A 12,768-nucleotide genomic window follows, 5' to 3' on the forward strand; every position below is an offset into this window, starting at 1 on the left:
TCAGTATGATATTGACTGTGGGTTTGTCATAGATAGCTCTTATTATTTTGAGATACGTCCCATCAATACCTAATTTATTGAGAGTTTTTAGCATGAAGGGTTGTTGAATTTTGTCAAATGCCTTTTCCACATCTATTGAGATAATCGTGTGGTTTTTGTCTTTGGTTCTGTTTATATGCTGGATTACATTTATTGATTTGCATATATTGAACCAGCCTTGCATCCCAGGGATGAAGCCCACTTGATCATGGTGGATAAGCTTTTTGATGTGCTGCTGGACTCAGTTTGCCAGTATTTTATTGAGGATTTTTGCATCAATGTTCATCAAGGATATTGATCTAAAATTCTCTTTTTTGGTTGTGTCTTTGCCAGGCTTTGGTATCAGGATGATGCTGGCCTCATAAAATGAGTTAGGGAGGATTCCCTCTTTTTCTATTGATTGGAATAGTTTCAGAAGGAATGGTACCAGTTCCTCCTTCTACCTCTGGTAGAATTTGGCTGTGAATCCATCTGGTCCTGGACCCTTTTTGGTTAGTAAGCTATTGATTATTGCCACAATTTCAGGGCCTGTTATTGGTGTATTCAGAGATTCAACTTCTTCCTGGTTTACTCTTGGGAGGGTGTATGTGTCCAGGAATTTATCCATTTCTTCTAGATTTTCTAGTTTATTTGCATAGAGGTGTTTGTAGTATTCTCTGATGGTAGTTTGTAATTCTGTGGGATTGGCGGTGATATCCCCTTTATCATTTTTTATTGCATCGATTTGATTCTTCTCTCTTTTCTTCTTTATTAGTCTTGCTAGCGGTCTATCAATTTTGTTGATCCTTTTAAAAAACAAGCTCCTGGATTCATTAATTTTTTGAAGGGTTTTTTGTGTCTGTATTTCCTTCGGTTCTGCTCTGATTTTAGTTATTTCTTGCCTTCTGCTAGCTTTTGAATGTGTTTGCTCTTGCTTCTCTAGTTCTTTTAATTGTGATGTTAGGGTGTCAATTTTGGATCTTTCCTGCTTTCTCTTGTGGGCATTTAGTGCTATAAATTTCCCTCTACACACTGCTTTGAATGTGTCCCAGAGATTCTGGTATGTTGTGTCTTTGTTCTCATTGGTTTCAAAGAACATCTTTATTTCTGCCTTCATTTCATTATGTACCCAGTAGTCATTCAGGAGCAGGTTGTTCAGTTTCCATGTAGTTGACCGGTTTTGAGTGAGTTTCTTAATCCTGAGTTATAGTTTGATTTCACTGTGGTCTGAGAGACAGTTGGTTATAATCTCTGTTCTTTTACATTTGCTGAGGAGAGCTTTACTTCCAACTATGTGGTCAATTTTGGAATAGGTGTGGTGTGGTGCTGAAAAAAATGTATATTCTGTTGATTTGGGGTGGAGAGTTTTGTAGATGTCTATTAGGTCCACTTGGTGCAGAGCATGAGTTCAATTCCTGGGTATCCTTGTTAACTTTCTGTCTCGTTGCTCTGTCTAATGTTGACAGTGGGGTGTTAAAGTCTCCCATTATTATTGTGTGGGAGTTAAGTCTCTTTGTAGGTCACTCAGGACTTGCTTTATGAATCTGGGTGCTCCTGTATTGGGTGCATATATATTTAGGATAGTTAGCTCTTCCTGTTGAATTGATCCCTTTACCATTATGTAATGGCCTTCTTTGTCTCTTTTGATCTTTGTTGGTTTAAAGTCTGTTTTATCAGAGACTAGGACTGCAACCCCTGCCTTTTTTTGTTTTCCATTTGCTTGGTAGTTCTTCCTCCATCCTTTTATCTTGAGCCTGTGTGTGTCTCTGCACGTGAGATGGGTTTCCTGAATACAGCACACTGATGGGTCTTGACTCTTTATCCAATTTGCCAGTCTGTGTCTTTTAATTGGAGCATTTAGTCCATTTACATTTAAAGTTAATATTGTTAGGTGTGAATTTGATCCTGTCATTATGATGTTAGCTGGTTATTTTGCTCGTTAGTTGATGCAGTTTCTTCCTAGCCTCGATGGTCTTTACAATTTGGCATGATTTTGCAGTGGCTGGTACCAATTGTTCCTTTCCATGTTTAGTGCTTCCTTCAGGAGCTATTGTAGGGCAGGCCTGGTGGTGACAAAATCTCTCAGCATTTGCTTGTCTGCAAAGTATTTTATTTCTCCTTCACTTAGGAAGCTTAGTTTGGCTGGATATGAAATTCTGGGTTGAAAATTCTTTTAAGAATGTTGAATATTGGCCCCTACTCTCTTCTGGCTTGTAGAGTTTCTGCCGGGAGATCCGCTGTTAGTCTGATGGGCTTCCCTTTGTGGGTAACCCAACCTTTCTCTCTGGCTGCCCTTAACATTTTTTCCTTCATTTCAACTTTGATGAATCTGACAATTATGTGTCTTGGAGTTGCTCTTCTCGAGGACTACCTTTGTGGTGTTCTCTGTATTTCCTGAATCTGAATGTTGGCCTGCCTTGCTAGATTGGGGAAGTTCTCCTGGATAATATCCTGCAGAGTGTTTTCCAACTTGGTTCCACTCTCCCCATCACTTTCATGTACACCAATCAGACTTGGATTTGGTCTGTTCACATAGTCCCATATTTCTTGGAGGCTTTATTCGTTTCTTTTTATTCTTTTTTCTCTAAACTTCCCTTCTTGCTTCATTTCATTCATTTCATCTTCCATCACTGATACCCTTTCTTCCAGTTGATCGCATCAGCTCCTGAGGCTTCTGCATTCTTCACATAGTTCTCGAGCCTTGGTTTTCAGCTCCATCAGCTCCTTTAAGCACTTCTCTGTCTTGGTTATTCTAGTTATACATTTGTCTAAATTTTTTTCAAAGTTTTTAACTTCTTTGCCTTTGGTTTGAATTTCCTCCTGTAGCTCGGAGTAGTTTAATCGTCTGAAGCCTTCTTCTCTCAACTCGTCAAAGTCATTCTCCGTCTAGCTTTGTTCTGTTGCTGGTGAGGAACTGCGTTCCTTTGGAGGAGGAGAGGCGCTCTGCTTTTTAGGGTTTCCAGTTTTTCTGCTCTGTCATTTCCCCATCTTTGTGGTTTTATCTACTTTTGGTCTTTGATGATGGTGATGTACAGATGGGTTTTTGGTGTGGATGTCCTTTCTGTTTGTTAGTTTTCCTTCTAACAGACAGGACCCTCAGCTGCAGGTCTGTTGGAGTTTGCTAGAGGTCCACTCCAGACCCTGTTTGCCTGGGTATCAGCAGCAGTGTCTGCAGAACAGTGGATTTTCGTGAACCGCGAATGCTGCTGTCTGATCGTTCCTCTGGAAGTTTTGTCTCAGAGGAGTACCCGGCCATGTGAGTTGTCAGTCTGCCCCTACTGGGGGGTGCCTCCCAGTTAGGCTGCTTGGGGGTCAGGGGTCAGGGACCCACTTGAGGAGGCAGTCTGCCCGTTCTCAGATCTCCAGCTGCGTGCTGGGAGAACCACTGCTCTCTTCAAAGCTGTCAGACAGGGACGTTTAAGTCTGCAGAGGTTACTGCTGTCTTTTTGTTTGTCTGTGCCCTGCCCCCAGAGGTGGAGCCTACAGAGGCAGGTAGGCCTCCTTGAGCTGTGGTGGGCTCCACCCAGTTCGAGTTTCCCGGCTGCTTTGTTTATCTAAGCAAGCCTGGGCAATGGCGGGTGCCCCGCCCCCTCCCCCAGCCTCGCTGCCACCTTACAGTTTGATCTCAGACTGCTGTGCTAGCAATCAGCGAGAGTCTGTGGGCTTAGGACCCTCTGAGCCAGGTGTGGGATATAATCTCCTGGTGAGCCGGTTTTTAAGCCCATTGGAAACGCGTAGTATTAGGGTGGGAGTGACCTGATTTTCCAGGTGCCGTCTGTGACCCCTTTCTTCCACTAGGAAAGGGAACTCTGACCCCTTGCGCTTCCCGAGTGAGGCAATGCCTCTCCCTGCTTTGGCTCGCGCACGGTGCACTGCACCCACTGTCCTGTGCTCACTGTCTGGCACTCCCTAGTGAGATGAACCCGGTATCTCAGATGGAAATGCAGAAATCATCCGTCTTCTGTGTCGCTCACGCTGGGAGCTGTAGACCGGAGCTATTCTTGTTCAGCCATCTTGGCTCCTCCCTGCAATTTTTATCACCCTGATGCGTTCTAATAAGAGTTCACTATGGCCCGTGAGCCAAATCTGGCCCACTGCCTGTTTTTACAAACAAAGTTTTATTGGAACACACACAGTTTAAATAAGGACATGTAAAAATAAACTTACTAAAACAGAATATAAATCTGGAAAAAATTTCAGAGACTGTAAGCATAAAATAGGAACTAGGTAGTTTTTAAAATTTTACATGTTTGGGCCAGGCACAGTGGCTCATGCCTGTAATCCCAGCACTTTGGGAGGCCGAAGCAGGTGAATCACGAGTTCAGGATATCGAGACCATCCTGGCTAACATGGTGAAAACCCGTCTCTACTAAAAAATAGAAAAAAAATTAGCCAGGCGTGGTGGCGGGTGCCTGTAGTCCCAGCTACTCGGGAGGCTGAGGCAGGAGAATGGCATGAACCCAGGAGACAGAGCTTACAGTGAGCCGAGATTGTGCCACTGCACTCCAGCCTGGGTGACAGAGAGAGACTCTGTCTCAAAAAAAAAAAAAAATTTGTATGTTTGCATTTTGATCATTTTTTAGGAGATGGGGGTCTCACTGTGTTGCCCAGGCTGGAATGCAGTGGCTATGCATAAGTACCATCATTGTGTACTACAATCTCAAACTCCTGGCTCAAACAATCCTTCTGCCTTAGCCTCCTGAGTAGCTGGGAGGTACTACAAGTGCATGCCACTGGGCCTGGCTACCAATACACCCAAAAGGAAGAAATGGAAATACTTGACTATAGAAAAATTTAATACTTTTTGTGTGGTAAGAAACACCACACCCACAGTCAAATGCCAATTGTGAAAAAATATTTGTAATATATATGATGGAAAAAGAGGTTAGTAGACATAATTTACAAAAAGCTGCTGTAAATCAATATGAGAAAGATAACCCAATGGAGAAGTGAACAAGTGCTATGAAAAAGCAATTAATCATAAGAGAAAACCCAGAGGTTAATAAACATGAGATGTTTCACCTCCCTAAAAAGCAGGAAAATGCAAATTAAAGTAATATACATGTATCACTTCTTGTTCATCACAATGGCAAAAATTAACAAGAATGAGAACCTAGTTCTGGCATTTCTTTATTCATGCATTCTTCTATTTAACACATATTTATTAAGTGCCTTACATGAGCCAGGCATGATTCCAGGTGTTGAGGATACAGCAGTGAACAAGAGACAAAAACCTCAGTCCTTGATCGAGACCATCCCGGCTAAAACGGTGAAACCCCGTCTCTACTAAAAATACAAAAAATTAGCCGGGCGTAGTGGCGGGCGCCTGTAGTCCCAGCTACTTGGGAGGCTGAGGCAGGAGAATGGCGTGAACCCGGGAGGCGGAGCTTGCAGTGAGCCGAGATCCCGCCACTGCACTCCAGCCTGGGCGACAGAGCGAGACTCCGTCTCAAAAAAAAAAAAAAAAAAAAAAAACCTCAGTCCTTATGGAGCTTGCAGTTAACTGGGGAAAGTGGCGAAGAAGGTACTCATATTGCTAATGAAAATAGGAAGTGTTATAGCCTTTTGGAAAGGAACTTAATATTTATTAAAATAAACACATAATCAGCTTGAATTCTAACAGTAGACTTGAAGAGATTTCCATCATGTATAGCTGAGTGACAAAAAGCAAGACTCTGGAATGTATATGATTGATTATCACATGGAAAAAAAAAAAAGCAATGACAGTCTCCTCCCCACCACCAAAGCATAGGTCTACATTTATATACATCATTGATGTTAAAACCACCATCTAAGGTGTGAAAACACATGCATGAAACTGTTTACATTGATCAATTGAGGAGAAGTGGAATGGGGAAGCAAAAATCTCAAAAAGACTCAGCATCTACTCTAGAATTTCACATGTGATATCCAATTTATCTAAACACTTCTATATCTGATTTTTTTTTTACTTTCAAGTTTTAAATTCTACTTTCTTTTAGAGTTTTAGTCATTGCTGGTAGATGAAAACTTTTCTTAAAAAAAGTTTTTTACTCATCTATAATAGTTGTACACTAAAATTTTAGGGGTAAAGGTGGTATTTTGATACTTGCATGCAATATGTAATGATCAAATCAGGGTAATTGAGGTATCCATCACCTCAGCTCAAACATCTTTTTATGTTGGGAGCATTACAATTATTCTCTTCTAGCTATTTGGAAGTATACAGTACATTTTTCTTAACCATAATTTAAATATCTGAGGTTCTATATCAATGAGAATTGATGTTCATAGTTAAGCATCTCGGAGTAGAAACTCTACTGGCTATTATCTTTTTTCTTTCTACTTGAATGTTTTTTGAAACATTTTAATAAAAGTCATAAGCATTGATTATGTATGTTCCATATCATAAAAGTATACAGTAAGATGAAGATAATATAAATGTCAAAAATGTAGAGTAGAGTTGGGCAGTTTGGGGGGTAACATAAGGACTTAAATTCCCATCTTTCATAGTTAGGAGTCAGTAGACAATGCCCAAAGGTGTTAATTCAAAATACAGAGTTAAATCATAACTTATTGCTATGTAACCGTCAGAAAATATAAAACCAGAAATAGTTAAAAGAAGTTATCCCTGACATATAACAGAACTGACGTTTGGGTGGGCAGAATTGGTATTTATCTTCTATTGTAAATTGTTTTGTACTATTATATTTTTTTATCAGAAAAAAAAAATTGAAAATGTAATCAGTTACCAGCCAGATAACCTCGAGCAAGTTACCTCTCAATGTCCCAGCCCCCTGCCTGTAAATGGGAAAATAGCAGCCATTTCATAGAGTTGTTGTGAGAATGTATGTGAATTGTTGACCACAATGCTTATGTCATAGTAAATACTCAATACATTGGGGCCACTAGTTTGATTATAATTTAAGAGTTGTAAGTTGGTTCCCCTTTTTAGAGCCCCAGTATTTTCTCCTTATCCTCAACTCTACTCTCAAGCAATTAAGAGCTCTAGTTGAGGGGGGTTTTATTTCATTATCACCAAAAACAGACGACTAGGTATATGTGAAAATGTTAATCATGAATGTGTGGATTTCTTTTTATTTCTTTTTATTTTTTATTGAGACGGAGTCTCTCTCTGTCGCCCAGGCTGGAGAGCGGTGGCGCAATCGCGGCTCAGTGCAAGCTCCGCCTGCCGGGTTCACGCCATTCTCCTGCCTCAGCCTCTCCGAGTAGCTGGGACTACAGGCACCCGCCACCACACCAGGCTAATTTTTTTTGTATTTTTAGTAGAGATGGGGTTTCACCGTGGTCTCGATCTCCTGACTTCGTGATCTGCCCGCCTCGGCCTCCCAGAGTGCTGGGATTACAAGTGTGAGCCACCGCGCCTGGCCGAATGTGTGGATTTCTGACAGGCACATGGTAGTCCTCACATGCTATCTGGAGACCTGCTCTATCTGCTTCTGGCAATGTGAGGGTTCCTCTCCACTATAAGAAACTCAGATGATATGTGGCATATGTGATTTATGATATGTGGTCAAAAAAGGATTGATTTGGAAAAATGTCTACTATATGTTATATGAAAAAATTTAGGACAATATGTATAGTCTGGATTTTTAAATTAAAATAGAAATATAAGGACCCTTATATGTGTATATACATATTTCCTGTAAGCATAGAAAGATTAATTAAAATCAAGAGTTAATTTTATATCACATACTTTCATATAGCTAAATTATTACAAGAAGTGTGTAATAGTTTTATTATTAGAAAGCGCAGTGGCCCACAGCACTCTTTTGAAAGGAAACGTATAGATAAGTGGTCAGGTTTGGGTATGTGTACTCAAGGAGGAAATGTGGGTCAGTGGCTCACAGATAAGGAGCTCAAAAATTTACTCAGAGTTCTTTATTTCCCATGAAATACAGTATTGGTACCAGTTCAGTGCCAATAAAAGTTAATTTGTGAAAAAGAACTATTACTCATTTTGCAACTAAAATTATTTTCCAGATTAAGTCTGTTGCTTCTGTTCTTACCATTGGTAAATCACCTGTTAAGTGTACCAAGCCATGCAAAGACATTTCCTACTGGAACTATTAGCATGCATGTTGCCTAGGAAAGGTCAGTGGAAACATTCTTCATCATTTGAAACGTTACTGTAGGAACCAGTAAGAATACTCTGCCTGAATTATGGAAAACTCTTTCTAGACTTCAAAGGGCTTTTATAGCTCTACTTCTACAGAATCCCCAGTGTTTCTAAGTTGATGAAGTGATCCAAAGTCTGGAGGCTGAGACCATAGAGGTACCTTTGCAAATAAAAGGGTCTTGGCAGGGAGTCATGGGGGAGGCATGTTAAAATCTAAGAGGGCCATGAGAGAGAAATAATCTGCCACTGTCTCCAGGCTACACTCATTTTCTCCACGCATAACCTAGGGTTTCCTCTTTCGGACAACAAGAATGCCAAATGGGAATGCCACATTGAATTTGGTGGTCTTTGGAAGGTGGATGGAAGTGGAAAATGAAGATAATGAGAGGGGAGAAGACCCCTGGAAAAGAGTAATTGGGAAATCACCTACCTTTCTAAGAGTGGAGAGTAGATGCACCATTTAAAAACTCCAGGATATAACCTAGGATTTACAATTGCTATGTCATGATGGTGTCCCTTGGGGGATCCCTTTACCGTAATAACTAGCAAGATTAAAAAAGTATTAGTAAGGTGTTTAGACATTCCGCAATGTATACATATATCAAAATATCATATTTTATGCTATAAACATATAGAATTATGTTAATTATAAAACGAAATAAATTGAGGAATAGACATGCAATGAAATACTGTCAAGCAATAAAAATGAACAACAATTATTCTAAGTGAAGTAACTCAGGAATGGGAAACCAAATGTCTTATGTTGTCACATATAAGTGGGAGGTAAGTTATGAGAATGCAAAGGCATAAGAATGCAATGGACTTTGGGGACTTGCGGGGGAAGGTTGGGAGAGGGTGAGGGATAAAAGACTAAATATCACGTAAAATGTTCACCGCTTGGGTGACGGGTGCACTATGAGCTCAGAAATTACAAATAGAGAACTTATCCATGTAAGCAACATTGTAATAAAATTGTAATAATTTTGTTTTTCTCTATACTTTTCCCATCTAAGTATGAACTGCTAAACACTGTAGCTTAGCTTTCCAGGTGTTTAATCTTTACATAAATGAAATTATTCTTTACATAATTGAGATTAAGAATAATCTCACTGAAAATCTGGAAAGCCTAGCTATAGTGTATAGCAGCTCATATTTAGGTGGGAAAAGTGTAGAGAAAAGCAAGAAAATTATTACCACAAAAGTCAAGTATCAGTTATCCATGGTGGGGAGGGGAAGGTTGTTTTGAGTGTCAAGGAGTAGATGTGGGGGTAGGTAGGGAAGTTATTAGTAAAATAAACGGATTACAGGCGTGAGCCACCACACCTGGCCAATACTTTTTTCTTCCACAACCAAACATAATTTAGAAAACTTAGGAGGAGAAGGAAAGCCTAGTGTTTACCCATATTTTTCCTTACTCTCTTCCTTCTTCATTCCCAATAATCTAGTCCCCCCAAAACCTGAGAACTCAGGATAACCACTAATGTAGTCCAGGCCAAAAGCCAGCTTGAGACTCAGGAAGAATCAATGTTTCAGCTGAGTTCAAAGCCAGGAAAACAGCACAACAAAACACAATGTTCCATTTCAAAGGCCATCAATCAGGAAAACATCCTCTCTTACTCAGAGGTCAGCCCTTTTGTTCTAGTCAGACTATCAAGTAATTGGATGAGGCCCACCCACATTAGGGAAAACAATCTGCTTTACTCAGGCTCCCAACTCAAATGGTAATCTCATTCCAGTCTGAAATATTTGAGGCCAAAGAAAAATACCCAGATAACTCATCACCATGTTGTTCTTTATTCCCATATTCCCTAATGGCCAGCTTATTTTCTCTACCTTTCAGCATTTTCTTGTTTGTCTTACACTGTTTCCAGAGATTTCAGTTGCACTTATCAGGAGGAATAGGGAAAAATATACTTACTCCATCTTTCCAAAAGCAAATATAATTTGAGTTTTGAAGTTAATCTTTTTATCTCAGACACTGAGGGAAAATAATTCAATCACTGGTTGGTCAGAGAGATCATCAACACTAAAAATTCCTCCATTGATTTCACCAAAAAGGTTCTTAGTCTAAAACCCCCAAAACCAATCTCAGGTCACTTTTTCTGTTTTCAAATCTGAGTCATGCTTTTCAGAAAACTTCAGTTTTGTTATTTAAAATGAAACCTCCTTGAGGTCAAGGGCTACTTTTGTATTTCCATGGTTATTCAAAACATACTCGGGACATACTCTCTTTCCAGAGCTAGACTGAGAAAGATCCAAGAACAAGAAGAGCAGGTAGGAGTTTAATAATAATAGCATGGCTAAGGCTAAATACCAAAAATTAGGCCAGATGATTTTTGCAGAGCATCAAATAGTATCTCTAATTTTCACAATATCTTATAAACTGGCAACAATCTCCTTTTACAACTGTGGAATATTCCAAGAAATTAAGTGATTTCTCCAAAGAAACATAGCTTAGGAATAGCAAGGCCGCCAGTTGATTCTAGGATCCAAGGTTGCTCTTCCCTTTACATTATAAAAATATGGAAAGGAAAAGGAGTGGCTGGGCACAAAAATTATGGCAGAAGAACTGGCAGGACTTATTTACTGCTTAGCTTGGGGTGTAATGAAAGAGAATGAACCAAATACAACTTTGGAGTTAAGGTTCTTTGCAGAAAAATGATGGCTTCTTTCAATTACTAATCAGGAAGAGATTTAATAGCAGGAATCAGTGCTTAGGAAAGTATAGGGCAGGCAAAAGAGTAGAAGCTAGCCTAGGTCTCCAGAAATACTTTCCAGATCCCAGTTCTGACCTGCTGGGGACTTACTACTACAGAGACTATCACTGGAATTACTGAGTTCAAAAGTTTCACATGGATTTTTGACTGTGTGTTGGATTATTTCCCTTAACACCTGTATTGTTCAAGGATCAAAACCGTACTGGCATTTTAGTCTTTATATGAAGTTAGTTCCTGGGAAGGGATTAGGTAATTAGTGCCTTATTTTCTGTCCAAAAGCGAAAGACAATTCCTTTTGGAAGGTAAAATGGCTTTTCCCAGAAAACTGAGGCAGCACGAATACAACTAATGGAAAAATACAGTGAGAGTTTCGGAGTGAAGATTTTGTAAACAGACGATATTAAAATTTTGTTATACCTAGTGATTTCTATCAACCTAAATTTCTAAAAATCAAAATATGTAATGGTATCAAATTAAATAATACAAAGAGCTAAAATTGAGAAGCTGTAGTCTCCCCATCCCTCTCTATCCTACACCCACTCCGTATCATGTATGAATTGAAAGTGGAATAACCAAACAATTAATTGTTAATATAATACCAACTAGTAGTTTGGAGATAAGTGCAGGGTTTATTCAGGGGTCCAGGGTTACTATCCCCAACTGATCCATACACCAGGGAGAATGTTGCAACTTCATGATCATGTGGATTCACTTTTCACGCATTTTTTCAATTGTTTGTAGTAGCCCTGTCCCTGAAAACTCCCTTCTGAAGCAGCCTCTGGCTCCTGTCTGTACCTGCTGCTTTCTAGGCTCACTGCATAACCATCGTCCTAGGAATCCCCGCTCCTGGCCGTTTTGGGTTGGAGCTATACAGTTTTCTTAAACTGTGCTTTCTTCCTTCCCTCCTGCATTTTGAATACATCTTTAAATGACTTTTGAGGAAAGGCTAAATTTTCTGTCATTGCTTGTCTGAAAATGGCTTTATTCATGCTCTTCCTTGATTGATAAAGTCATTTTGTCCCCTTAGAATGCACTGCTCTGTAACGTCAGAGAATCAGCATAGGCAGTTAGCCAAAAACTACTCTCGATTAATTTCTGAGACGCTTCCATCCAGAGGGCTGATTGATACGCTTTGAGTGTGTCTATGGTTAGATGTGTCTATGGGTTATAGCTTTTTCCTATTATAGTACATCTTATTAATAGCAAATTTGCCTTCTTAATAGCAAAAGTCACTGTTATGATTTCTATTGTTACGGTTTACTTTTAATTTGATTTTGAGGTCTTTCTCTCAAGAGTGACCATAAACCAAGATAACCACTTTCTAGGAGAGCCCTGACTAGGAGAAAGTTAGATTCGGGTGTATCAGGCAGGTGAGACAAAATGAGGAAGTAAAACCAAATGCATGAAACACAAGAAGGTTATTACTTACAGATCACATAGAGGTTAGGGGTGTCAACAGGAGGCTGACGGGAAGGCTAGAGGTGGCAGGGAGCTCAACCAACGGGTGGGGAGCAAGAGACAGAGAGAAGAGCTGTGGGGCCAGGTCTTTATTAAGGTGCACGGGTGTTAGCCCTTACACTTTCCTCAGGGGTTGTGAATTTTTTACTTTAAAGAAAACACTTGTGAATTGGGGAACTTGTTTACAAGACTCTGGTGTTAACCATTAAGTTTTATCACGGCAGCACCTGTGGAATATGTTGGGTTTGGTTCAATGAGATGAGGAAAAAACGGGCTGTATTGCAAACAACCACACAGGGAGGGAAAGTTTTAACTGGGCCAAAGGTGACAGTATATGACTGGGCTTCAAATAACTTATGGCAGTCCTAAAAATGGGTGCTGAGGCAGCACTTTATTAAACAAATTGATGACAATCCACCTCTGGGTGCCCTGGCATGATATTTTAAATGTAAGACA

The 12,768-nt window shown here is 39.9% G+C and overlaps 1 long non-coding RNA gene across 1 annotated transcript in view, besides 1 other annotated feature; it reads right to left on the bottom strand.

Moving 5' to 3' along the window:
- The window catches only part of LOC124901704 (uncharacterized), a 95,125-nt gene extending 82,711 nt beyond the window's left edge, over positions 1-12,414 (bottom strand). Inside the window, exon 1 of the long non-coding RNA XR_007060445.1 lies at positions 12,284-12,414. This is a non-coding gene — a long non-coding RNA (uncharacterized LOC124901704). The remainder of the gene's footprint in view (positions 1-12,283) is intronic.
- Positions 9,476-9,996: an enhancer, noted in NCBI's record as "OCT4-NANOG hESC enhancer chr7:96898961-96899481 (GRCh37/hg19 assembly coordinates)". NCBI's record gives its function as "activates a minimal SCP1, AML or CMV promoter by ChIP-STARR-seq in primed H9 embryonic stem cells {active_cell/tissue: H9 hESC(primed)}" and the evidence as "EXISTENCE:reporter gene assay evidence [ECO:0000049][PMID:30033119]".
- Positions 12,415-12,768: the final 354 nt, after the last annotated feature.

The sequence above is a fragment of the Homo sapiens genome, chromosome 7 (genome assembly GCF_000001405.40).
Source record: "Homo sapiens chromosome 7, GRCh38.p14 Primary Assembly".
Classification (NCBI taxonomy): Eukaryota; Metazoa; Chordata; class Mammalia; order Primates; family Hominidae; genus Homo; species Homo sapiens.